Source organism: Homo sapiens, chromosome 8, assembly GCF_000001405.40.
Source record: "Homo sapiens chromosome 8, GRCh38.p14 Primary Assembly".
In the NCBI taxonomy this organism is placed as follows: domain Eukaryota; kingdom Metazoa; phylum Chordata; class Mammalia; order Primates; family Hominidae; genus Homo; species Homo sapiens.
Window position 1 is genome coordinate 53,252,176 of NC_000008.11, and position 26,410 is coordinate 53,278,585.

The following is a 26,410-nucleotide window of genomic DNA, read 5'->3' on the forward strand; positions in this document are numbered from 1 at the left end:
CTGCAGACAAACTGCACCTTACGGGTATTACCTGAATTGCTGATAGTATCTGAGAAGGGCAAAACACTCTCCTTACCCGGGCCTCAGTGGTGCTCCAGGGAGGTGACAGTGTCTCTGTTTTACATTAATCCCTGCAGCCATCACGTTCTCCTCACTTCTCCCTCACAGTAGGGCTGCCTCCATTATACGGCCGCGAATCTGAGCGTCCGTAAATAAACTGTCACCATCATTTCTTTGCAAAACTCTGCTAGTCCAAGGGTAGCTGTCAGATCCTGCTGAGTGAGAGACATTCTCTTCTCAGGCAAAGGGACCGGCAAGACACAAAGGGAGCAAGGGCTCAGCCCCTGAGGTGAAGGTTCTGAAAGGGAGTGGGGAAGTTCCCCTTCTCCACAGGGTACTGGAGACAGGCCTGGGGGAGACTGGGGGTTTAGGCACCTCAATTTCCCCAGTGGATTCACTGCCTCAGGCTGACAAACACAGGTCCCCACTGCATCCCACAGCTAATGTCCATGCCACACCTGGACACACTAATGACTGATACAGCCCTTCCCTCCATCAGCGGAGGGCAGAAGGGGGTTCCTGTCTCTTTCAAGACGCCATGACCCCAAAGTGGGATTTGACCACCAGCGTCTTGCCGCCTGGAGATGAACAACTCTTTTGAGCAGTGTAATATGAAGAGCATAAGGAAATCTTCCCTTTGTTCAACCATATCCCTTCAACCCTTTCAAATAATTTTGAAAATTATTATCAAGTCTTAGAGTTCTTTTAAGTCTGATTGCAAACTGTCATTGAAGGATCACATCTCCTTCAGTAACACATCAGACCTGCTGAGACCTCATAAGGGCCTCAGTAGTTTTATTTCATTTGAGCACTCTTACCTTTCTTGTTTACCAAATTAATGGCCAAAATAAAGGGAAGACAAAATGAACAGAGCATTGAGAAGCCCTCAGGTGGCTCAGGTTGCCAGGGGAACCCACTCGAGTCTCTAAATCCAGGAAGTATGGCTGCTTCTGTGGAGTCATGCTCTTAGGAGTATGCAATTTTATCATAATATCAGATAAAAGCTCATAAAATAGAAAGGAAAAGTAAACTGCTAAAATGCTATATACTGTTACACACTGATATAAAGCACATGTGGTTATACTTGGCCATTCTACTCAATGCAAACACTATGCTTATAACTAAGTACATGGAAAGCACTTTTAAAGATGAAAATGTGGAGATTTTTATTGGATAATGCTACAATGCTAAGGAGCATCCTGGGTAGTGGGTGGCTTTGACATTTTTGTTAGATAGACTAGATAACCCACCAGTAAATTGCAATTAACTCCCTTTCTTGTGGCTCCAACAACAGATATTGTTGTGCAGCAATGAGTGCAGAGCTGGAGGGAGCAACTTCATTAGCTTAAGACCCCAGTGCAGCCAATGGAGTCTTGCTGAGCCGGGATGCAGCTGGCTTCAGCTCACTTCACTCAGCAGATATTGCAGAGTATCCCCAAGTGGCTGAAGAAAAGGCACCCTCTGGGGATACAACAATACCAACACAGAGACAATCTCTTCTCAAAGAGGATGTGAAGCTAGTGTGACACATGGGATCTAAATTTTTTTAATGTTAGGAATAATTAATAAATAATTAATAACAAATTCATCCAACTCTGGCAAATGTTATGTGGAAAGGTGTTTAATAAACAGTGATAGCCAGTGCAGCAAATTTGCATGAAATTTAAAAATAGCATCCCTTTCATAAGGCACTTTACTTAGATCTGTCAGCAAGTTGTTATAATAAATACCCAAATCAGTCTTGTCTTCGGTGTGAAGCATACTGTGAGATACTGCACACTTAGGTGCAGTGTAGTCTACACAAGTGTGCAGATCCCCTGAAGAAGACCTGGTGTCTGGGAACCCTGCTCAGTCAGAGAACATCAGGGAAGCCCTTCTTGAAATGGCATTGAAGCTGATATTTAAGGATTGCAGTTATGGCAGTTATCCAGGAGAGGGGGAAGAAAGAGCATTCCACAGCATATGTGAAGAATGTAGATGGTCAAGAGTGGGGCATTTCTGTGGCACCCTGACGAGGCTGAGGTGCTTGAGCCTGGTGATCAAGAGCAGTTAAGGTGCAGACCATGCTGAGCCTTGTCAAGAATGTCAAAGATTTTGGATTTCAGCCTAAGAGTAATAAAGAGCCAGTGAAGGCTCTCAGGCAGGAGAGTGGCATGCCCAGATTGGGGTCTTTGAAGTATCACTTGTCTTTAGTTTGGTGAACATACTGGAGGGAATGAGGAGGTGTGAGGAGCTCCAAATTCAATTGGAATCATGTGCTGTTCCAGCTAAAGGTGCCGCGCATCTGCATGTGACATAGACAACATGCAACCAGGACTTTTTCACGGCCATAGACTTAAACTTGGAACTGCTTATACTGAAATTCTTGACTGCATTAAATCCACAGGTTTGAAAAGTCAATGCCAGTCACATGTCAGACTCTAAGTTGGGGAGTGAGAGAAATTTTGGCAACACAAAGCAATGAATGGCACATCAGACGTATGGGCAGAATTATTTCAAAAGAAGTTGAGATTATCTCTGGTAGTAGAAGAAAGATGACACTAAGGTAGGGATCGGAATTTAAGCAAGAATTTTATCAAGAAGGAAAGGCAGGGAGGCACATGTGCAAAGGTGTGAGAGCCTGACACGTGGTGGTGTGGGGCTTGCAGTGTTACAGAAGGTGTGGGGGGAGGAAAGTGGTGCATCAGGACAGCCAGGGTGCAGACTCAGGGAAGAGCAGGTCGGCCCGGCTGTGCTGGGATCGTGAGCTGACCGTGTGGTGGAAGTGGCCCTGACTGACACAAGGAGGACACCTTTGGACAGAGAACAGTAGTAAAGCTCTCCTAACCATCTAGGTTAGAGATGAATCAACCCTAAAACAACACAATTGCTAAGCAGATTGGGGAGGATAGGATAGTTTTGAGAACTGTGTAGGAAATTAAATTGACAAGAAATGGTCTGGATGAATATGGAAGTTAGGGAGGAGAAAGAGTTTAGAATTACTTTAGGATTATGCTTGGGTGACCAAGTGAATGACGGTGCCATTAACTGAAATAAGAAATACAGGAGGAATCACAGCAAGCTGTAGAAAGAACATAATGAGCTTGGGTTTGGAAGGCTGTGTTTGAGGCATCAGTGAGGCATTCATTTGTGTGCGTGGTCCAGGGCTGTCTAATGCTGGGCAGATTGTGTTGGAGAGACACAGGCCGAGCCATGCAGGTGAATAAGGGCATGGAAAGTGAACATCGCAAGAAAATCAAGCTGATGAGAAAATGCTGGAGAAAGCATGCGCTTTAATAGGGATCTATCAAAGAACACTGATGAAGAACAGGCATCAATGAAAAAGGAGGAACATAAGCAGAGAAACCAAGAGAAGAAAGAATTTCAGGATGGAGAGGTGATCAACAGTGTCCACATGTCCAAGAACTTAAATAAGTTATTTGGCAAAGAGAATGTCACTGGAGACACCAGTAATATCTATAATTAAAATTATGTTTTATATTTGTGCAATAGAACAGAAATGAACAGACAATAAAACAGTGAAAGGGCAAAGACCCACTGGGCCTTAGAGTCTCTGCTGAAGGTACTCCTAACCTGGGGCAGAGGGTAGGGGTATGCCACATGGCTAGTGCGAAACATACCTGCCTCTCTTTCACTGCCCAGGGCCACTCCCCACTTTATATCACAACTGTGGGAACACAAAAAGCACCCCTTGCCGCTGGCCATGGGAGAATTTTGCTCTCTGTAATGGAGGTGCCCTCCCTCTGGTAGACAAGGTCTCAGGCTCTTGGCTTGTGTGATGTTACTCTCCCCTTTACTCATTGAAATTCAGTATGTTTCCACTGAGGTTAAAACACAGCCAACTCCACACACTATAGGTCATCACTAGCCTGGATTTTGACCAAAGGTCATCCTTATTGGTGACTGTAGGGAGAGAAGGCTCCTGCTGCAGTGGACAGCTGCTCCAGTGCTGCCAGGCCATGGGTCACACATGGCAAAGCCACTTTGTGTCTCAGCTGATCAGCCTCTATCTGCCCAGTTTGTAGGAAGTTGAGTTTTTCATAAGGTTCTCTGTAAAAGAATTTCCGAAATCACTTTTTCTAAATCCTTTTGCAGACAAATTAAATTAAGGCAATTTTTTAAAGGAAAATTCACTCTTTATTCTCTGTAATGCCTGTATTATTTGAAGTTTTACAAAATGATATATTACTTTTCTAAAATTTTATTATTATTATACTTTAAGTTTTAGGGTACATGTGCACAACGTGCAGGTTAGTTACATATGTATATCTGTGCCATGTCGGTGTGCTGCACCCATTAACTCATCATTTAGCATTAGGTATATCTCCTAATGCTATCCCTCCCCCATCCCCCCACCCCACAACAGGCCCCGGAGTGTGATGTTCCCCTTCCTGTGTCCATGTGTTCTCATTGTTCAATTCCCACCTATGAGTGAGAACATGCAGTGTTTGGTTTTTTGTCCTTGCGATAGTTTGCTGAGAATGATGGTTTCCAGCTTCATCCATGTCCCACAAAGGACATGAACTCATCATTTTTTATGGCTGCATAGTATTCCATGGTGTATATGTGCCACATTTTCTTAATCCAGTCTATCATTGTTGGACATTTGGGTTGGTTCCAAGTCTTTGCTATTGTGAATAGTGCCACAATAAACATACGTGTGCATGTGTCTTTATAGCAGCATGATTTATAATCCTTAAGGCAATTTTTAAAAAAATAAATAAATAATCCTTTTGCAAAGACATATTCAAGTTCCAAGGGATCTTTTCTTTTTCTCTCTCTGTTTGGTTTGTTTTCTGTCAAGTCCAGGAGGATCCTCTACCCCTACCCAAGCCCCTATCATTACCTCACATTAGTGTTTACTAAGACTGTTTCTGGGAATTATATTCTCTTCCCCAGTGTGGGGATGCTCCTCATCTACCTTAGAAGAAGCATGGTGGGAAGATCAGACCCCTCCAAGGATTATTTTCACAAACATTGGCTGAACTGACTCTCCCGCTCCGATATGATCCCCCTCAAGTGGGTCTGGAGGACAAGTGGATGCCTCTCTACTTCCATCATTCCCGCCTTCACTGTACTTGAAAATTCTGGTTTGGACTGTAGCTGTAGGCACTTTCCATTCTTCAACTTCTGAGAACTGAATCAAAAAACCATTTTAAAGGGCTTGAACACACTCTTTACATGAAAGTGTTGCTCATAGTTCAGATGACTGTCTTACAGTTTCAGGTTATGGATAAAGACATGAGTCTGCAGGGAGAGCAAGATGGCCAGGAGCTTTTCATCTTCAGGAATTACTATAATTACTGATGCACAATCCAGCAAGCAAGGACATTTAGGGCAGATGCACAAAAGCACTTACCAGAGAGGGACTGGTTGACTGCTAGTTTGGAGAATAACTGGCTTCCCTGGGAGTGAGGGACTCCTCAGTCCCTGAATGGCTGGATTTTGCCTTGCTCTTGAATGGGCCGGGAGAGGCTGTGCAGAATCTCCAGAGTGTAGCCTGAGCAACCAGCAGACTTTAAACTCTTCCTCCCCACTCACCTGGCTCCTTGGCATGAAAGCGCTCTGACAAGGCAGCCATGCTGTCAGCTTCTGCAGAGGGAAGACAAACTTCACCCTGGGATGGTGGGTCTTTATTACCAAACCTACAGTGCTCAGTCCCCCAAAATTTGGTCTGGTCATGCAAGTAGTCTGATCACCCTCAACCTTACCAAACCCACTGTCCTGTATGCAAAGAGAGAAAAGCATTTTTAGTTAATAAATATTCATACTGATACTTTTACTCATATCTCCAATACAATTTCTGGCATCTACAAAGCATAAATTAATTGGATGAATTAAAAATGATGGCAGGCTGGGCGCAGTGGCTCTTGCCATGATCCCAGTGCTTTGAGAGACCAACGAGGGAGGATCTTTTGAGGCCAGCCCTGTACAACAAAAATATTTTTTAAAAAATCAAAAATTATTAAATAAAAATAAAAATTAGCCAGGAATGGTGCCCACCTGTAGTTCCAGCTTGAGCCCAGGAGTTCCAGGTTACAGTGTCACTACTCTCCAGACTTGGGGACATAGTGAGACCCAGTCTCAAAAAAAAAAAAAGGACAAATTATATGTTACATTTCACATTAAAGAAGCAAAGGAGAATGGATGGGCTCGGGACCAGTAAAAGTGCTGATAGAATATAAGCATGTGTTGGAAAGCTAGCATTACCTTGAGACAGTGGTTATATTTAATTTACCAACTTCGACAGCATTTTTTTTTCTTTTTTCTTACATACATCTTGAAGTATAATTATGGCCAAAATGGTAGAACCCAAGTCTAGAGAAAACTGGTTGGTGGATTTCTTTGGATCCCACATAGCATTGTGCACATTTATTAAGATCAATAAATTCACTGAGTTTAACAAAACTTAGGAGTTCATGACTCCAAAGGCAATTATACTTGGAACAAGCTTTGTATCTGAAGGCAGTGATTGCTCAAAATTTTACTTATTTTGCAATAAAGTTAACAATTATTCAGTTAGCACTCAGAGTCTAGAAACAAAAATCCTCTCAGTGGAGAAGGCTCAGTAGCTCATGACATCTAATAATATCATCTCTACTGACTCCTTTGTCTTATAAGAAAAAGATCTTCAGTTTCTAGCATTTCACAGCATGTGCCATTCAAATTAAAAGCTTTAGACTGCACTCAAAAAATCATATTTAGAAAGAAGATCAAAGCATGGTTCTACAAACTACAAGAAAAGAAAAACAGAATAGAGAATGTTTGAATAATCTACCCTAAGAAAGAACGAGATAATTGCAAGCATGTTTCAGGTGATACAGAGGTGAATTCTATGTGATTTATTCCTGCCCCCCACTCACAGTTTAACACAATGTGAAAACAAGGACGTTCAAACAGCAGAGGGAGTAGGTGCTATAAAATATTACTCTTGGTAAAGAGATTAAAAATAAACAGAGATAGAACTGGCATAAATACTTTCAATGACACAGCAAAATTTGAATCCAGCTTTATTTAGAAGATATAGAAATTTTTTATATTTCAAAATCTAGGCAGCATATTAAGCCACCTCTGTGGTCATGGTAATAATAATATCATAAATTTGTTTGAGTCTTTGCTTTCATCAAGGTACTTCATATAAAAAATGCCTTATATTTGGTCATATCTTCCTTGTACTTTACTCAGAAAAAAACTGACTATCCCTATTTTATAATTAAGAAAACATGTTCCAAGAGGTTAAGCCCTATAACCATGATCACTTAATAAATGGAGGACTAGGAATAGAATCTTCCTCTTGAATTTCAACCCAGTGATTTTTTTCACCTTCCCAGGTTGCACAAAAATTTTAGTTTGAATGAAAGCAGAGATGAGTCATAACAGTAAAATTAAAATGTGAGAAGACTGTCAAGTGTTCTCTTTAACACTGAAGCATGAACTGTGGCTTCATTGTCTTCATTGTGCAAGAGCTACCTAATGTAATTTTAAACCAGAAACAAATGGTCACAACGGAAACAATTTTGAAAAATTGCATCAATACTAGTATGTTGAACTTCTCCATAAAAAGACTGTATTTGGACAACTAAAGCAAGTAGAAAAAAAGACTCATCAATTCCACAGTCAATGAAAAGAAAAATATCGAATAAGTGAATACCGAAAATATGTTTATTTGGGGAAAAATAATTGATATGAACAGGATTACATGAAACGTGAAAGTAACATTTTGTTATATAGGATAATTTATCAAGCTTAGATGGTGAACAATAAAAAACATTATGTATAGGTCAAAACAAGCAAGATTTCCTTATTAGTTTAAAAAGATTGTTGGCCAGGTGTGATGGCTCACGCCTGTAATCCCAGCACTTTGGGAGGCCGAGGCGGGAGGATCACTTGAGGTCAGGAGTTCGAGACCAGCCTGTCCAACATGGCGAAACCTTGTCTCTACTAAAAATACAAAAAATTATTCATTCATGAGCGCATGCCCCTGTAATTCCAGCAACCTGGAAGGGTGAGGCAGGAGAATCACTTGAATCCAGGGGGCAGAGATTGCAGTGAGCCGAGATCATGCCACTGCACTCCAGCCTGAGTAATAGAGTGAGACTCTGTCTCAAAAAAAAAAAAAAAAAAAAAAGATTGTTAATTGTTTTGCTAATATGTTCACATGAACCAAAAGTCAAAACTATTTACAAAGATATTTGGAAGCTTTGTTCTCTCCTATTCTATCCTTTTCCTCCCATCCTACTCCTATCTCATATAAGCAAACTACTTTCTCAGTTTCTTTTACATGTGTTTTTGTGTTTCTTTACGCAAATGAAATCAAATTACATACTCTACTTTTTTACATAAAAATATTAATTGTTCCCCACCATGTTTTTTTTTAATGTAGTTGTACATTCTGGAGGTATTTCTATACTGAGACACAGTTTTCTCAATTTTAAAAAAAAAATTTTAACTTTTTCAGAGTATTCCACTTTGAGGCTATACCAGAGTTTATATAACCAATCCTTCACAAATAGAAGTTTGGATTGTTTTCATCTCCTTCTATCACAAGCAATGCTGCAATTGTGTGTATACATCACCGGGCAGGAGTGCAGGTATACCTGTAATTCTCAGAGGGGGGTGATTTAATCAAAGCATAGTTAAAGTAAGTAGTGTGCTTTAGCATTTGGGAATCTTTTGTTCTGGTCGTTAAAAACAGACTCTACTAAAAATTAAATTATACAAATGTTAATTATATATCATATTATAAAATTATACTATAAAATCATATTATTATGTTGTCTTAATAAATTACGTTATAAATAAAGGTATTAAACAAATAAATGAATCACTTCCTCACTATTTTACTGTGCTTTAGTCTGTGCTCTGGAGATGTCTATTATATGGACGTGGCGGGTACTGTATAATGGTGTGCTGCGTTCGGTAACATCACATCGGTTGCTGACTCAGCCATGATAGGCAAGTATTGAAACCACAGAAGTTAGCATATGCTATCAGTCAGGGTCTTGTTTTCTTTTTTTCTAAAGAGCCAGTGGTTAAACATTTAGCTGCATACCACCCATTAGATATCTTTGAGCTATTCTTAACCTGTAGCAATTTAGTAGACTCCAACTTTATACAAGGAAATTAAACATTTTTAATTGACATCTGATTCTCATTCTCCACACCATTCACTTCTCTTATTGAATCTCTCTACTTTTTAATGACCATATAGATTTTTGCATAGGTTCAGTAAGAATCTGCTCTTCTTTTTACCAGAATGCAATTGGAAAAAAAAATCAGAAAAAAAAATTGGAAAATCTTTTCTGGTGTTAATTTTGGCAAATTATATCATCCTATAGTTTCTTCCTTCCTTATGATTACTTAATTTTTATATTTGAAATTTTTCCCCTTTTCAAACACAGTGTTTTATCTATTCTATCATTTCTCATTATTTTTTTAGAACCAGATTTGAATTTAGTCTATTGTATTTCTTTTTAAAAGCTTCATAATTTCTGCTTTTACCTTTACTAATTCCTTTCTTCTGTTTTTGTTCAGCTTAATCTATTCCTGTTCTTCCATCTTTTCCATTTGGAGGATAATTTATTTCTTCCTTTTCCCAATAGTTAAAAGTATGTAAGGCTTGAATTTTCCTCTGAATTCTCACTTTATTTTATTTCAAAGGTCTTTAAACACAATGTTTTCATTATCTCGCTTTGAGGAAATTCTCTAATTTTGGTTTCTATTTCCTCTTTGATCCAAGAGTTGTTTAAGAGTTTTGTAAATGTAAATGTTCAAAAGGAGAAACTTTTCTGTTTTCTAATTGTTAAAATTTATTTCTATTCTTATGTGACTATGATCAAATTGTCTGAGTTTTTTTCTTTTCTCCTGTTTTGGAGTATATTGAAATTTACTTACGTGGTTCAATAGATGGGAAATGTGAATGTTCCATGAGCTTTTGAAAAAGAAGATATTTTTTCCAATTTAAGGATACAGAGTTTAGTAAATGTCAATTACATGTACTTATTAACCATGGTATTTTAGTCTTTTATATCCTTATTTATTTACTGTCAACTTGATGTATCATATAAGAAAGAGGTGATCTAAATTCCCTTACCACACTTGTGTTTCTTGTGTCTTCTGTAATTTCTGTTTTATGAATGTTATTGCCATACTTTTTGATGCATTGCTATTTACAATTGTTATGCTTTCACTGCACATTTCACTTATTAATGCTAATTTAGTTCATTCTGTCCCACATCTCATCTTGTCTGGTATTAACATCTGGGAAGGATGGAGTTAAGCAACTATCCTGCAATCCATTTCTCTTCAGTTATAGGATTTGGGAGAAACTCCTTGGAAATAAAGGAGGCAGTTAGCTCAGTCTAATCACCTTGTAAACATACCTTAAAAGATGCTCTAGAAAATACGTTGAATAATTGAAATAGATAAGAAAAGAGTCCTTATCTATTGAATGCTTTTAGCAGGATGTTCCTGTTCTAGGATTGTTTGCGGTAAATAACTTGAGAATCTTTGGACATACAAGCCATGTCTCCTGGAAAATATCACATAAGTTATGTAAATTATATAAATCTGAGATAAAATAAAGGCATTTCATAACCTAAATGCTCTCTGCCATGCATGAGCAAGGTAACCACAGACTCATTTAGAAATATCATCTTATGAGTTGGCCAGAGAGTATGTCCAGTGCAAGCAAAAGGGACCTGGTGAACATGTGAATGTCCTGGACACCTGGCTGCTATAGCTGTGTCACTTGGAAATTACTAATAAGGTTTGATATATAGTAGATTGTCTGGTTCGTGGAACTCTGATTTAACAACTCAATCCTCAATCCTTTGTGTTAGGACAACATCACTACCTCTGCTTTCTTTTTCTTTGCCTTTTTCTAGTGTAATGTTTTATCATTTTTATCTGCAACTTTTCTGAATCTCTTTATTTAGGGAGTGTTCCTTATATATAGCACGGAGTTGAGATTTGCTTTTTAATTCAATTTGAAAATATTTTTGTATTTGTAGGTAAATTAAGCCCATTTGTATTCATTAATTTCACAGACATATTTTGACTTAATTCTCTCCTATTATTTTGCATTAAGTTTTCTGGGTTTTGCAAAGTTTTGGTTTTGTTTTGCAGCTTCTAATAATATAGGGTACTATTTTTTCTTGTTTTTGTATTTAGTTCCTCTGATATTTAGAATGGGTTCTGTTTATATTGGTCTGCTAGGATTGGCATAACAAAGTACCACAGACTGGGCGGCTTCACCAGCAAAAATTTATTTTCTCACAGTTCTGGAGGCTGGAAGTCCAAGATCAAAGTGCCAGCATAGGAGGGTTCTGGTGAGGCCTCTCTCCTTTGTTCTTTGATGGCCACCTTCACGATGTGTCCTCACATGGCCTTATCTCCATGGATGTAAAAAAAGAGACAGAGGGCTCTGGTGGTTCTTCTTCTTCTTGTAAAAACACCAGTAAAAACACCAGTCCTATAAAATTAAAGCCCCATCCTTATGACTTCATTTAATTCAGTCACATTGAGGGTTAGGGATTCAACACATAGATTTGTGGAGACACATTTTAGTCCATAACAATGCTTATAAAGGTGAAGTGGTTATCCTCATAATCACGATTACATAAAATCACCTTAATCGTCTGCTTCTGAAGAAAATACACATTAATTTCTCTGGTAAACTGAATAAGTGCCCCCCAAATATGTGCATGTCCTAACATCCAGAACCTGTGAATGTTACTGTATATGGAAAAGGGGACTTTGTAGCTATCAGTAATGTAAGGATCATGAGATGGTGAGATTAACCTGGGTTACCCAGGGGACCCAATGTAATCTCACAGGCCCTTGTAAAAGGCAGGCAAGAGTCAGATTCGAGTAGAAGGTGATCTGATGACACAGCAGAGATTGGAGTGATACACTCTGGAGATGGAGGAAGGGTCCATCTTGCCTTTTTCAGTTTCTAGTGACCACTTGTATTCCACCAGCCAAGGAACTCAAGTGGCTACTAGAAACTAAAAAAGGCAAGGAAATGAATTCTTCCCTCAGAATCCCCAGAAGGAAGCAGCCCAGCCAACATCTTGACCTTAGCCTTGTGAAATTGATTTTGGACATCTGACCTGCAGAACTATAAGATAATAAATTTGTATAGTTTCTATTTCTTTTCTTTTCTTTTCTTTTTCTTTTTCTTTCTTTTTTTTTTTTTTTGACAGAGTCTCACTCTGTCACTCATGCTGGAGTGCAATGGCGTGATCTCAGCTCACTGCAACCTCCGCCTCTTGGATTCAAGTGATTTTTCTGCCTCAGCCTCCTGAGTAGCTGGGATTACAGGCACATGCCACCATGCCCAGCTAACTTTTGTATTTTTTAGTAAAGATGTGGTTTCACCATGTTGGTCAGGCTGGTCTTGAACTCCCGACCTCGTGATCTGCCTGCCTTGGCCTCCCAAGGGGCTGGGATTACAGTCATGAGCCACCGCGCCTGGCCTAATTTATGTGGTTTTAAGTCGCTAAGTTTGTGGTAGTTGGAGGTAGTTTGTTAGAGCAACCATAGTAAGTTAATACAATTCTCTCTATAAGTAAGATAAAAATTAGCATATTTCTTTTCTCCTTCCACTGCCAAGTTTTAGTCAATATATTTCTTAGTGTTCACCTTTGAACTGTGAAACATGTTTATGATTTAAATACTTGATTTTGCAACTTCATGTGATACTTTTGATTCCCAGACATTACAAATTAGGCAATTAGCAAAACTATGCCACTTCACACTTTTTTTGCTACCTTCTCTTTCATATACATATACTAGTATACGTATCATTTCCACATTTTCAAGGCATATACATTTCCATTATATTCTGTCACATTAATTTTCCATATTTCTTTAATCTTAGTTTTACAGATAAATATTATCAATGTTCACTGCTATTACCTTTGCTCTGGCTTCCTTAGCCAATTTATGTTTTATTGAAGTTTTTCCTGTGTTATTTTTTTAAATGGCTCAGGAAACAGTATTTTCTGAGCTTTTATGTATTAAAACCTATTTTAAAACCTATCTAATTTGGCTAGATAAAAAATTATTTGCTCACACTTTCTTTCCTTAAAGATCTTGTAGGCATTGCCTCACTGTCATCTGGCTTTATATGTTGCCATGGAGAAGTGAATTCAGCTTAACTGCATTTCCTCTTATAAAACTTGATCATTTTCTCAACTTTTCATAGATTTTAAAATTATCTTTTAAAGTCCAGTAAGTATACCTGAATATTTCTCAATATCGATCATGTTAGACCAATTTTTGTCATTTCAAATTGTAAAATTCTGCCTGTGTGGCAGAGACTCTCAGAGCTTTGAAGCATGAAATATGATCCTGATGTCACCCTACACCATGAGAACTTCCTGCAAGTAGGTACTACAGGAAAGTAAAAGTCACTGATGAATAATCAAAAAGAAAAACTAAAAGAAAATGTATACAAAACAAAAATTAGAGAAAAAGAATAGATATAAAAGAAAAACAAAATTGTATCTCACAAACACACACACACACACACGACACAGCTCCACCTTGTACAAGAGCTCTTCCAGCAGGCTCAGCAGCTGAGTGGCATCTCCTGTCTCCCCCAGCTCCCTGGATAGAAGACCTAGTCCTACTGATTCAGCAGCCAGGAAACATCAACAGATTCTATTTTGTACAACTTCATCTTGTGGAAATCCTGTACCAGGAGGATGGGAGAAGCTGAGCAAGGCTCCTATTCCCCCACTGTCAACTCCCACTCCATAGGGAATACCTGAGCAGAGAAGATAAGGAAGAATGAAATTTGCTTTTCCTGCACAGCTCTATGTTGCTGAGAGCTGCTCTGGTTTTCTCAGCAACCAAGTGGTAGTCCCTTCCCCAGCTTTCTGGGGTGGAAGAACTATTTGGGGTAGCTTCAGCAGCCTGTGAACATTGGCAGATCCCAAGTTCCTCAAAGGTTGCCTGCAGGAAATTCTTACTGGGCAATGGCAGCACCAGTGGCAGCACTAACTCCTAACCTTTCCCCTTCCCCACTCCCCACACCCATGCAGCTCTAGCCCATAAGGAGGATCTAGATGGATTAGCTGGTGAAGAGTGAATCCTCATCCCCACTGCAGCCTACCTTCTGCTCCACAGTACAGAAATTCTTCCTCGAGGAGGGTCAGACCAAGCCCCAAAGGTGAGCAATACCCTACCCTGCCATGGGGCCTGGCTGTATTTGGATCAGACAACAGAACAATTTATGTCCCAGGACAATGTAAAAATTAATAAAGCAATCAGTAGCAATTAGTGGAGGCTGCCAGTTGGGGGTGATACCACAGAGAAGAACAAAAGGTAAATGGGGAAATTAGTGGAAAAAAAAACAAAGAGAGCCCAACCAAAGCTACAGTCATGTCTGACAGTCAGGAAGATTATGTGCCTGCCCAACACTAACCTCTGAGAATGATCAGAGAGGGAATCTCTGAGCTCGAAGTCCTGAGTTAAACATAGGGCAAAAGTAGTATCCAAGCCACATATGGCTCCAACCATACTTGACTAATACATTGGAAATAAGAGCTCAGAGTTGCCAAGAGAACAAGCACTCAAACAGAGAATTTCTCAGCAAGGCAAAGCTTACTTCTGCAGAAGGGTGCTGCCTGCATCAGTCATGATCACAAGAGCACCCCAAACAAACAAAGAAGGATTTTTATTGCTAACACAGCTTCTGTTTCTGTGTCCTTTCTCCATTGGCTGGAGTCGGACCACACAATCTAAACTATCCTGATTGGCTAATACCTGAACCTTTCCAAATGGGGTAAATGCACAGTTTGTGAAAAGAGGAGGAGAGGGAGAGACTGTTTGTTACTAAGGTGGGAAGGGTTGTCTACAGAACAAGTACAAAGTATGTCTGAGCATGTCAGGGCACGGCTAGTTACAAATTAATCTGAGAAACAAGAAAAAATGGAGAATGTGGGTTACAGGTCAGGACTAGTGGGAATAGTGGTTTACAGAGCAGTAACTGGGGGTGAGAACATACAAGGAAGTTGATACCGAAAACAAAGAACAAGGAGGTTTCACCTTTGAAGAGGAACTCACCGTACCTGACAATTTCCTCCCTTTGATTTTTATAATTCTTCTTCTTCAAATTTATTTAACATATTTTGGCTTTGTTGTTCTTCTTGATTTTCTAAAAGTAACAGTTTATCTGAATAAGGCAGGGGAGAATGGAGAAGGTTTTAGTGAGAGCTGTTTCAGTAAGTTTTGGCACCAATCCACAGGCACAGGGTATAATGTAGCATCCTACAAGAATGAGTACACCTATTACAATTGCAAGGGAGGTGAGGATTGAGATCATGAGTCCCTTCCATTTGCCAAACCCTTTTTCCATTAAACTAGTGAAGGGGTCATTTATTCCAGAATTCTCAGCTAAGTAATTCTTGGTGGCTAAGGTAGTAAGACCTTGTAGCGCCTTTGTTATGGTTCCATCGGGTGCAGTGTTATTAGGGATGCAAGTACAGCATTGGGTCCCAATCATGATACATACTCCACCTTTTTCAGCTAATATCATGTCAAGATGTTAAGGGCTATCCTATTCTTCCAGGCCATTTGGCTGGTAGGGCCTAATTGTTCAGTTATTCCTTTAATGGCATCTCTTGTGTAATTGAAAAATCACTGTTGATTACAGTAAATATAATTTATCCAATCTACATTCTTGTTTATAGTTGGTCACCAGCACAATGCAGATTCAAATCCTGCGGCTATTTGATTTTGGGCTTTAAATTCATTTGGCACCCCTCGTGGAACTCCAATGGCATCTACATAACCATGAAGGTCAAAAGACCCAGGAGGGGCACCTCTTTTTTTGTGATTTTCCTTCCTGTTTTGTTGATGAAATGCCAGGGTAAAAGGGATGGCCAATTGGACTAGAGCGCAAGTGCTTCTCCATTTACTTTGACAGAGTACCCAACAGTGGTCCACCACAATACCACCACGCATCCCCTAGGGAATAAACAAGGGCAACTTGACTAGTAAGCTCTCGGAAAGGCTTGGTTTCACTGCATTCTTTTGGGTCTCTGAGGGACGTTAATCTTTCCCCCTGTCGTGAGAGACATGAGGTACAATTAACATCAAAAGCTGGAGACCAGAGGGCCCTTGGGGCTGACCCACAGAGCCTTTAACTTCAGGGAATAGCAGTGAGAGATTCTTACATGCCTCGTGGCCCCAGGCTGTGGGGTTTTGAAAGAGACTCACCATGCAGCTCATGCCTAGTCAGTCAGAAGACCGCCCAAGTGGGAAGGGGACTATCTGGGCCTCTGGCCTCCCTGCCACACAAGCATAACTGTCACTTTCATTTAACCTGTGAACAGAATATTCAATCCGTTCCAGCCAGGCATTTGCATCATGGTATCCTGTTTCAATCGCTAAAGTTTGCTTTAAATCTTTAACTTCTACAATGTCTACTATAGTTTTATCAGTGGGTATTGAAAGAACAGCTGTTTGATTGGAAGAAGGTTCAGAAGGAGGAGGAACGGAAGGGGGTGGAGGAGCAATGAAGCACATCTCAAAGGATCCTATAGGGTCTATTCCAGGAACATCAGCTCCTAGGCCATAGAAGCAACCTATAATGGGGTTAGTGTCAGTAGAGGTGGGGAAAGTAATAGAGATTTGCACATGGTTACATTGTTGGAGTTTACAATTAGAGGGAGTTGTCTCTTTGGTAAAGTGGAAGTAAGGCTTTAGGTTAGCACAACCTCCTCCTGGAGAGGTCCAGCCTTGATACTTGGTGGTACAGACCACATCTCCCCAGCCAAAACAGAACTTCCAATAACTGCCTTGTGCTTGTTTGGTGCAAGAGTCACTCTTATAGGCAGTTCTATTTATCCTGGAAGGGCAAAGGTACTTTTCTAAAGAGGCTAGCTTCCTTTGGCTTTGGAGATCTCCACAGGGCATAACAAGACAAGGTAATGGTTTGAGGGGAACTAGACTTAGTTATATTAATAATAAGATGTGAGGTAGCTGGGGAGAAGAGGAAAAGGAGGAAGAGACAAATTAAACTGTTCTTTTCAACGTTACTGTGGTTGGGGTGGGTCCTGAAGTAGATGGTGCTCTTTTGACCCAGGTGTGATGAGTCCAACCCTTTTCACTGGTCTGGACTGCTGTTTCAGTTGTTAGAAGCACTAAGTAAGGTCCTTCCCATGTAGGTTTGAGCTTTCCCTATTTCCAACTTCTGATAAGGACGTTATCTCCAGGCTGGTGGTGGTAAACCGGGAATTTGAGGGGTGGAGTCTGTGTCAGGAGACCTTGAATCCTCAGGGAGGAGAGGGTGGAAGGCAACCCTAATATATAATTCTTGAGAAGTTGGTCTTTTGTTTCAAAAGTAGGAAGGCCAGTAGTAGAGTTTAGGTAAGGCAACCCATAATGCATTTCATAAGGGGATAGGCCTATGTCTTTTCAAGGGTCAGTCTGGACTCTTAAAAAGGCAATAGAAATGCATTTTGTCCAAGGTAGCTGGGTTTCTAAAATCAGTTTGGTTTAAATGGGTATAGAGGGTTTGATTCATTTTGTCTACTTTCCCTGATGATGGCGGATGCCATGGTGTATGATATTCCCATTTTATTCCTAATGGTTGAGTTAACTTCTTAATGATGAGGGCAGTGAAGTGGGTCCCATTGTCTGAATCAATATTCTCTGTTAAACCAAACCTTGGTAGGATATGTTCTAACAGGGCTTTGGCCACATTGTTAGCTGTTGCATTTGAAAAAGGGATAGCCTCTACCCAGAGGGTGAGATGATCTACTATGACTAGTAAATATTTAAGGTGGCCTACTGGGGATAGTTCTGTGTAGTCAACTTGGACACTTTGGAATGGCCTCAACCCTGGGTTTCTTTCCCTGAATAGTCTTTAAGTTTTATTTATTGGTTTTTCTGCATACTATACAACTATCTGTGACTTGCCTAGCAAGAGTGTAGATTCCTATACATCCATAAACCCTAAGAACTGCATCACACATCACTTGAGGGTCCCAATGAGTTCCCTGATGAAGTTGTGATAGTATTTCTCTCATAAGAGGTTTAGACCACATTTCCCTTCTGTCTGGTAGTACCGACTTTCCCTCTAGGTTTTCCTTAGCTCCTAATTTTGTTAGTTTTTCTTGGTCTGCATAAGAGAAGATGGGGGTTGTTGTTGGAGGGGGAAGATGAAGGGTTAGATGGAAAATGGATGCAGCTTGGGAAGAGGCAGCTTGATTGGCTATTTGGTCAGCTAGATTATTTCCTTGACTTTCAAAAGAGGGGTTTTTTTGGTGTCCTCATGGTGGGACATGAACAATAGCTCTTTCTTCTGGCAGCTGGAGATTATGTAGCACTTGTATTAATAACTCTATTTGGACTAGGTTTTGACCTTTACTGTTAATAAGGCCTCATTCAGTCCATATTTTTCCAAAGGTATGGACTACTTCAAAGGCATAGTTGGAGTTAGTATAAATTGTTCCTTCCAGATTTTGTAGAAATTTTAAGGCTTGATTTAGGGCAAATAGCTCACACATTTGTGTGGACCAGTCATTTGGTAATTTTCCTGATTCTATTTCTGTGAGGGTGTTCCTGTCAACTATGGAGTACCCATTATGCCTTTTTCCTTCAATAAACCGGGAAGAGCCGTCTATAGAAAGGTGACGCCCTGTTTGGAAAGGCGTTTCACTTAGGTCTAGTCTAACTTTGGTTTGATAACTGATTAGATCTAAACATTTGTGCTCATGGGTCTCTGGGTTTGGATTCCCTGTTAAGAAGGCAGCAGGGTTAAGTGAATTGTTAGTGGTTAAGCTTAAATCATCCTTTTCTAATAAGATAGCCTCATACTTTAAAATCCTTGAGTCAGTAAGCCACCTTCCTGGCTTCTGATTAAGGATAGTTTTGAACAAAGTACACCAGATGGAGTATAACAAACAGAGGAGTAAGCTGCTCGTGAGTGGATTAAAAAGGTAAAGAAGTGGGTCCTACCTCTAAATTTATCAAGGGCTCTTGGTGGGACTTGAGATAAAAGAAACAGAGCCCCTGAGCTCCCTATTCCTCCTCAAAGGCCATAAGTGGATGACTTCTTTTTCTTTTTCCCATTCAGGACATTCTCTCTTGAAGTGACCTATTCTTCCACATTTGAAACATTTGTTTGCCCTTTTACTCTCCCTATTTTTAAGTTCCCTTGCTTTGCTTTTTCATACCCTTTATATGGCCTAGCGAGTAGAGCCTTAGTTCTTTACAGGGTTTGATGCCTTGGATACTTTGTTTTAGAGCAGACAGTAAGATTTTTGCCTTTTGCTTTGCTTTTCTTCATCCCTTCTTACATACACTTTTTGGGCCTCCCTCTAAAGTTTCTCTATAGGCCAGTCTTTCTGGTTCTCAATTTTCTTTTTTTAATTTCTTCATGATATCTGGCTACCTAGTAACAAAATGGAGGTTTAACATCCCCTGCCTAAGGGGATCCTCTATGTCTAAGCCTGCATATTTTTTTCATCTTTTCCATGAGTTTGTTTAAAAACTTGGCCAGGCACAGTGGCTCACATCTGTAATCCCAGCACTTTGGGAGGCCAAGGCAGGCAGATCACAAGGTCAAGAGATCAAGACCAGTCTGGCCAAACACAGCCCACATGGTGAAACCCCTTCTCTACTAAATATACAAAAATTAGCTGGGTGTGGTGGCATGCACCTGTAATCCCAGCTACTCGGGAGGCTGAGGCAGGAGAATTTCTTGAACCTGGGAGGTGGAGGTTGCAGTGAGCCAAGATTGTGCCACTGCACTCCTGCCAGGTGACAGAGGGAGACTCTGTCTCAAAAAATAAATAAAATAAACAAATAAACAAACAAACAAACAAACAAACAAACTCCATGGACCCTTCGCCTTTTCCCTGCTTTATATTAAATGCTCAGGAAATATTTTGGGTTTGAGGTACTGATTCCCAAATCCCTTTAATTATCAGTTCCCTAAGGTCCTTCATGTTTTCTCGGTGTTTCCCTGAGTCTGTGGGGCTCAACCTCTCTTACCAGAGATTTCTTGCACCCTTTCCCTGGAGGCTCAACCCCCCTACTACAGGTTTCTTTCGCTCCTTTTCTTTCACATTGTCCATCTCTGGCCACTTCCCTGGGGGGAATTTAAGTCCCTCTTAGCTTGGGCATGTCAGTATAAACCTCACAACAGGAATCTGCCATAAGCCATATGAGATGACTATGGAACCACAGATAAGGATCACATTTGCTTCGCACTCAATTGTGTGTCTCACTCATGTACTTTCTATCTTCAAGATGTCCCGACCACCAAGGAATACTTCACTGCCCCCATGACTTTTCTTACTTTGGTCTGTGCACAGAGTTACCTGGTCAACCACAGTATCTGTAGGCCTTTCTTTTCAGGTTGCTGAGAGCCCAGGTTTATTCATCACACTGGGTGGGTCTTGATCCCTCACTTCTGAGGCCGCTGCAATGAAGCAGCAGGATGCATCTCCTCACAAGAGGGGACCAACTGACCCTTTCTCTGAGGAGAATGAGATCCTGGACAAGCCTCAAATTGTTGGAAATAAGAGCTTGAAGTCACGAAGAGAACAAGCACTCAAACAGAGAATTTCTCAGCAAGGCAAAATTTACTTCTGCAGAAGGGTGCTGCCTGCATCAGTCATGATCACACAAGCACCCCAAACAAAGGAAAGAAGGGTTTTTATCTCTAACGCAGCTTCTGTTTCTGTGTCCTTTCCCCATTGGCTGGAGTCAGACCACACAATCTAAACTATCCCGATTGGCTAAGACCTAAACTTTTCCAACTGGGGTAAATGCACAATTTGCTAAGAGAGGAGGGGATGGAGAGACTGTTCATTACTAAGGTGGGAAGGGTTTTCTACAGAACAAGTACAAGGCATGTCTGGGCATGTCAGGGCATGGCTAGTTACAAATTAAGCTGAGAAACAAGAAAGAATGGAGAAGGTGGGTTACAGGTAAGGACTAGCAGGAATAGTTGTTTACAGAGCAGGTAACTGGGGGCGAGAAGGTACAACGAAGTTGAATCTGAAAACAAAGAACTAAGAAGTTTCACCTTTGCAGAGGAACTCACTGTACCTGACAATTTAATGTATGTTCTCAAACAAAAACAGAATTAAACTATGTGATAGCCATAAATGTTTAAACTTTCATCATAGAAACTAGAAAAAGTAGAGCAAACAAAACTCCAAACTAGTAGAAGGATGGAAACAATAAAGGTTAGAGCTGATATAAATGGAATAGGAATTCTAAAAACACTAGAGAAAATCTACAAAACCAAAAGTTGGCTCTTTGAAAAGAAAAATTGACAAACTTTAGCCAAATGATGCCATCAATAAACTGAAAAGAAAAGTCATCAAAATGGAGAAACTATCTGTAATTTATATATCTGATAAAAGATAAATCCAGAATATACAAAGAACAATTACAACTCATAATCATTTTAAAAGTAACTCAGTTTTTAAATGGGCATAGGATCTAAATAGGCAGACCTCTGTAAAAGATATACAAGTGACCAATAAACACACGAAAACGTGCTCAACATCATTAGTCACTAGGGAAATGCATGTCAGAACCACAATGAGATCATACTCGACACCCACTACTATGGCTACAATAAAAAATATAGACCATAAAAGTGTTGGAAAAGATGTAGAGAAAGCATAACCCTCATACATTGCTGGTCCACTTGGAGCAACAGTTTTGGAGTTCTCAAAATAGTAAATGTAGAGTTGCCATATGATCCAGAAATTCCTGTCCTTGTTATATCCAAAAGAAATGAAAACCTGTATCTACACAAAAACCTATACACTAGTATTCTTAGCAGTATTATACATAATACCCAAGAGTGGAAGCAACCAAAATGTCCACCAACTACTAAGCAGATGAATAACATGTTGTATGTCCACACAGTGAAATATTATTCAGCCAAAAAAAAGAGAAAAGAATGTAGTACTAATGAAGACATGGTACCGCATGGATGAACCTTGAGAACATCATGGTAAGGGAAAGAAGCCCATTGCAAAAGACCACATATCACATGATTCCATGCACATGAAATGCCCAGAACAGGCAAATCTACAGAGGCAGTGAGGACATTCATGGTTGCCTAGGTCTGGGAGTGGGAGATAATGAATGACTATCAATGATACAGGATTTCCTTCTGGGGTGATAAAAATGTTTTAAAATTAGACTGTGGTGATAATTGCACAACTCAATAATATACTCAAAACATTGTATTTTTCACATTAGGTAGTTGAGTTTTATGTTATGTAAATTATAGCTCTATAAACGTGTCAAAAAAGAAAATTACCATAATGAAAGGAGACAGAATATCTCCAGTATCTCCCCAGGAAGAAGATAAAGGCCGTATTTTCTTATTACAATTCTGCAGGTAATATGGTGGGCTAACAGTGCAGTTATCCCAATAGTTAGAGGAAGAAAGTCTCAAAAGAATGGAAGTTGTCTGTATGGGATAGCAAAAAAAACAAGGAACAAAGGGAGGCAGAACACCCCAAGTGTTAGCAGACAAATACCAGCTAATTCAGTACCCTGTGGATTTGGAATTATGTCCCTATGGCAGCTATGAGTGCATCAGACTGCCATAGCAGGAGCAGCCACACCCTTTGTGCTGATTTTATATGCACTCAGCAACCTTTTATTTGTATTTCACTTCCCCTTTATCCTTTTCTACAGGAAAAAAAGGCACTGATCACTCTAAGAAAGAAAATTACCACTCATGTTACAATTGAGTATCTTATTATACAAGAGTACATTTAATTTTCTTATTGAGCAGTGCCTTGTGAGCCTGATGATTATAAGTATGTCGCTGAGACTGGGTCCCTGAGATTATGTTTCTGGACTCTTGAAGCTGAAGACCAGACTGTGGATCATAAACACAACTCCACTTCATGAAGTTTGTAGGAATCCAGCCATATGATTGACACTTTTTAATTTTGATATTGCAATCAAACTGTAAGAGTTGTATTCTCTGACAATAGCTTTTAAGAAATAATTACCTGTATTAAGTAAGAGAAATAATTGGACGATTCTAAACACTGGGCCCTGCTAATGGCAAATATTTAGGCCCAGGAATCAAGCAGCAGTTAAAGAATCTTTGTCTTTAAGAAACCTTTTTTAAATGTGTCAAGATAACAGAAATTCAGGTCAACATAAGCATCAAAAGTACATTTAAATATAACTATTTTTTGTGTCAGTCTAAATTTGCCCAATTATTTCTTTCAATTGCAGATCAGGTGGAGAAAATAATTATATTAGGTACCCATTAAAATGTACTTTACATCTCTGCTTTTACTGTAAAAGAAAAAGAAGTTTCAGAATATTGTTCTCTTTACATCCATATTCAATTTTCTAATATAAGCCATCTATCACAACAAGGCCAAATTTTATGATAGGTCCACAGTCCCATATACAAATCCTTGGGCCCTCATGCTTTTGAACCTAACATTTTTCAAATTTCAGAAAACTAATACAGTGCATACACCATGTTTTACATAATTTCTTCAGGGAGCTCTGAGGTGGCACTCTTGTAATCCAATATTAATGGTAATCAATGTATTGACTACTCTTGTAATCAGTCATTAATATTGCACCAAACTGGGATAAAGACTCACGTTACTTCAGACCAGATTTTGCCTCCCTATAAATTTACTGAAATTTTCTGAGGAAAAAAATTGATTTTCAGAGCTTTCTGCTTTTGGAATCATGATGATGTGTAATTTAAATGACTATGTCACATCAAGAAGAGAACTAATAAATTTGTCATGGGATGAAGGAAAGGAGAACAGATGTAATCCTTCAGGTCTAATAAGAAATTATATATAATTCTCTTACCTTCTCACCATCCCAATCCACCCTCATATTCATGCCAGAATCAAGCAGGATGACATACTTTAGAGATGTCATTTAGCTACATGGTATCATGAATTTAACATATTTAAAATACAAGTTAATCCTGGGATTAAATCTTTCTCTGTCTTCTTTATCTCCCCCAGGATTTTCTCAGTGGTGTGGATTGGGACCAGCCTCATGTGCGATCCAGAAGTAGAAAGGACTGGAAAAGAGATTCTGATGGACACAGAACTCCTGCTACATCATATAGATTGACAGAACATATAAATATAAATAATCATATTTTATTGTCTGATTTAAGCATTATATTTTATTGATAGGTGTGTTAGAAAACAAGATTTTATAAAGCTTTCCCAGATGGCAGAATTTAGAGAAAAATATTTCACATCAAAATTCAGGGACTTCCTCCATAAAAATAGCACTGTTTAGCTCTAAAGCGAGAGACTGCATTTCAGTTTGTTCATGACATACAATGGGTGGACAGGTAAGAAACCAAGTCAGCAATTGCTTGATTTACATTTTTATAGCCATTATAAACAAGACTGGTTCAGATTTTGATCTGATGACTAAATTGATTTTTTTGCAAAGGGAAATATTTCATTACTCACACCAGAATTCAATTCTAAGAATTTTCTTGCATGTAATGTTTTCCAGTGTTTCAGTGCGACTTCCACTGTCTCTGACCCTGGAGAAAACTCTCGTGGTAAAGCACAGGGCTTCCTGCAGAAGGCTTGTCTGGAGACACTGGCACCAATACTCCTATGAAACACATTCAACGCCTACTTTAAAATTCAAATGACCAACATTCCTTTCAGCCGTATTTGCATATGATCCTGGCCTTTTTTTATCTGGCAGGGATGTTAATAAAAACTTAGTTTTGAAATAATTTTAGTTTCTCTCTTAAAAATGGAAAACTGCCCAAGTCTGTATTTGTTTGGGGAGAAGATAGAATGTCTTATACAGAATTCATTCCATATAACAGCTCTCAGAATAAAGCAAAAGAAGAAGTCATTTCAATATGGAACGTCATAGAAGTCATGGAAATCGATATCCAATATGCAGTAAGAAATGTAGTGATATACAGATCATAGGATGATATTGAACTCTCCCATCTTTCTTCATTCCTTTGTCTAGAATTGCTGACAAATCAACATTTTTATCATGCATATGCCAATATCTAGTTACAGATTAAATTTTTTGGATCTATGAGGACAAAAGTGAGTTGCTGTAACTTTAAAGTAGGGACATTAAGAAAGAAAAGAAAAGAAAAGAACAAAAGAAGGGAAAGGAAGAAAGGAAGGAGGAAAGAAAGAAAAAGAAAAAAGAGAAAGAAAGAATGCAAGAAAGAAAGAAAAAAAGAAAGAAGGAAGGAAGGAAGGACAGCAAGCCTCGACATATTTGGATTATGCTTATACCAAAAATATTGCCATTTCTCAAAAAAAATTAAAACATTCCTTTTAGAATTCCATCCACAAATTTCTGTATATGAAGAAATGCTATGTTTTAGTATTTGGAAATGTCCCAAAGTCACTTTTAGGCTTGCATAGTGAGTCAAATTAATCAGATTGTGGTTTTTTTTTTTTTTTTTTAGGATTTAAGTTTCTTTTATTGTTGTTTACCTTCAAACCAGTAACGAGGCTATGTAACAGATATGGTTGTACATAGCCATCAGTTAAGAGGCTTCACCACCCCACTGGCTTGCCAGGTCCTCACAGGGGTGCCCCAATTAGGAGTCTTGGGTGGGCACAGGACATCACTAGGCATGAGCTTCATGGGTGGTTCATGAACTTGTCTTTGAAACATTAACTGGGCACTCCAGGCTCTACCTACAACCAGAGGAGGCAATTTTGAGTTGTGCTCATCAGACCTACAGAATGGTTGGCCCTGGCCAGACACACCTCTCTATCCTTTGAGTTTCTTGGAGGAAGGAGAACCATGTCTTGTATCTCTACATCTGCAGTGCCTAACACTGTAACAGGCCTATAGGAGGCCCCCAGGAAATATCTCTTGATCAATTGGATAGACTGACTTACCTTCAGTTCCACACCCTGGGGTGAGTGAACATTTCTCAGAGACGAAATGTTTGGTCGGATAGTCTTGAGGGGTTTCTTCTTTGTAACATTGCCAGTTCTCAACAATGTAGGGATGGAAGTCTGAGCTTTCTCACAGCTTCAGCAGGCCTGCAGAGAAGTGGGGAAGGAACATCTGTGTCCTCAACTGGGGCTACTCCCAGGGCAACAGAGCCAAATAGCAGGAGAGGGACGGTGACAGAAGGAGATGGGCAAGGGGGCTGTAGAAGCCTTATGTAGATTACATGAGAGATAATGAATGCACCAACCTTTATCCTTCTTTTCATATAACACTGAAATATCATCCAACTAAGTGAGGCTTATGGTCTACGGTATTGGTATAAGATTCACAGAAAATAATAAAAATAAGGATAATGTGACTTTTTTCACCAAGTTAAGCATATCCTTTTAAA

The 26,410-nt window shown here is 39.5% G+C and overlaps 1 long non-coding RNA gene across 1 annotated transcript; it reads right to left on the bottom strand.

Moving 5' to 3' along the window:
* Positions 1-24,220: 24,220 nt before the first annotated feature.
* On the bottom strand, positions 24,221-26,108 carry LOC124901946 (uncharacterized). Its single transcript, XR_007060912.1, has 2 exons — positions 25,962-26,108; positions 24,221-24,687 (listed from the first exon to the last, which is right to left on the bottom strand). It is a non-coding gene; the product is annotated as an uncharacterized LOC124901946 (long non-coding RNA).
* Positions 26,109-26,410: the final 302 nt, after the last annotated feature.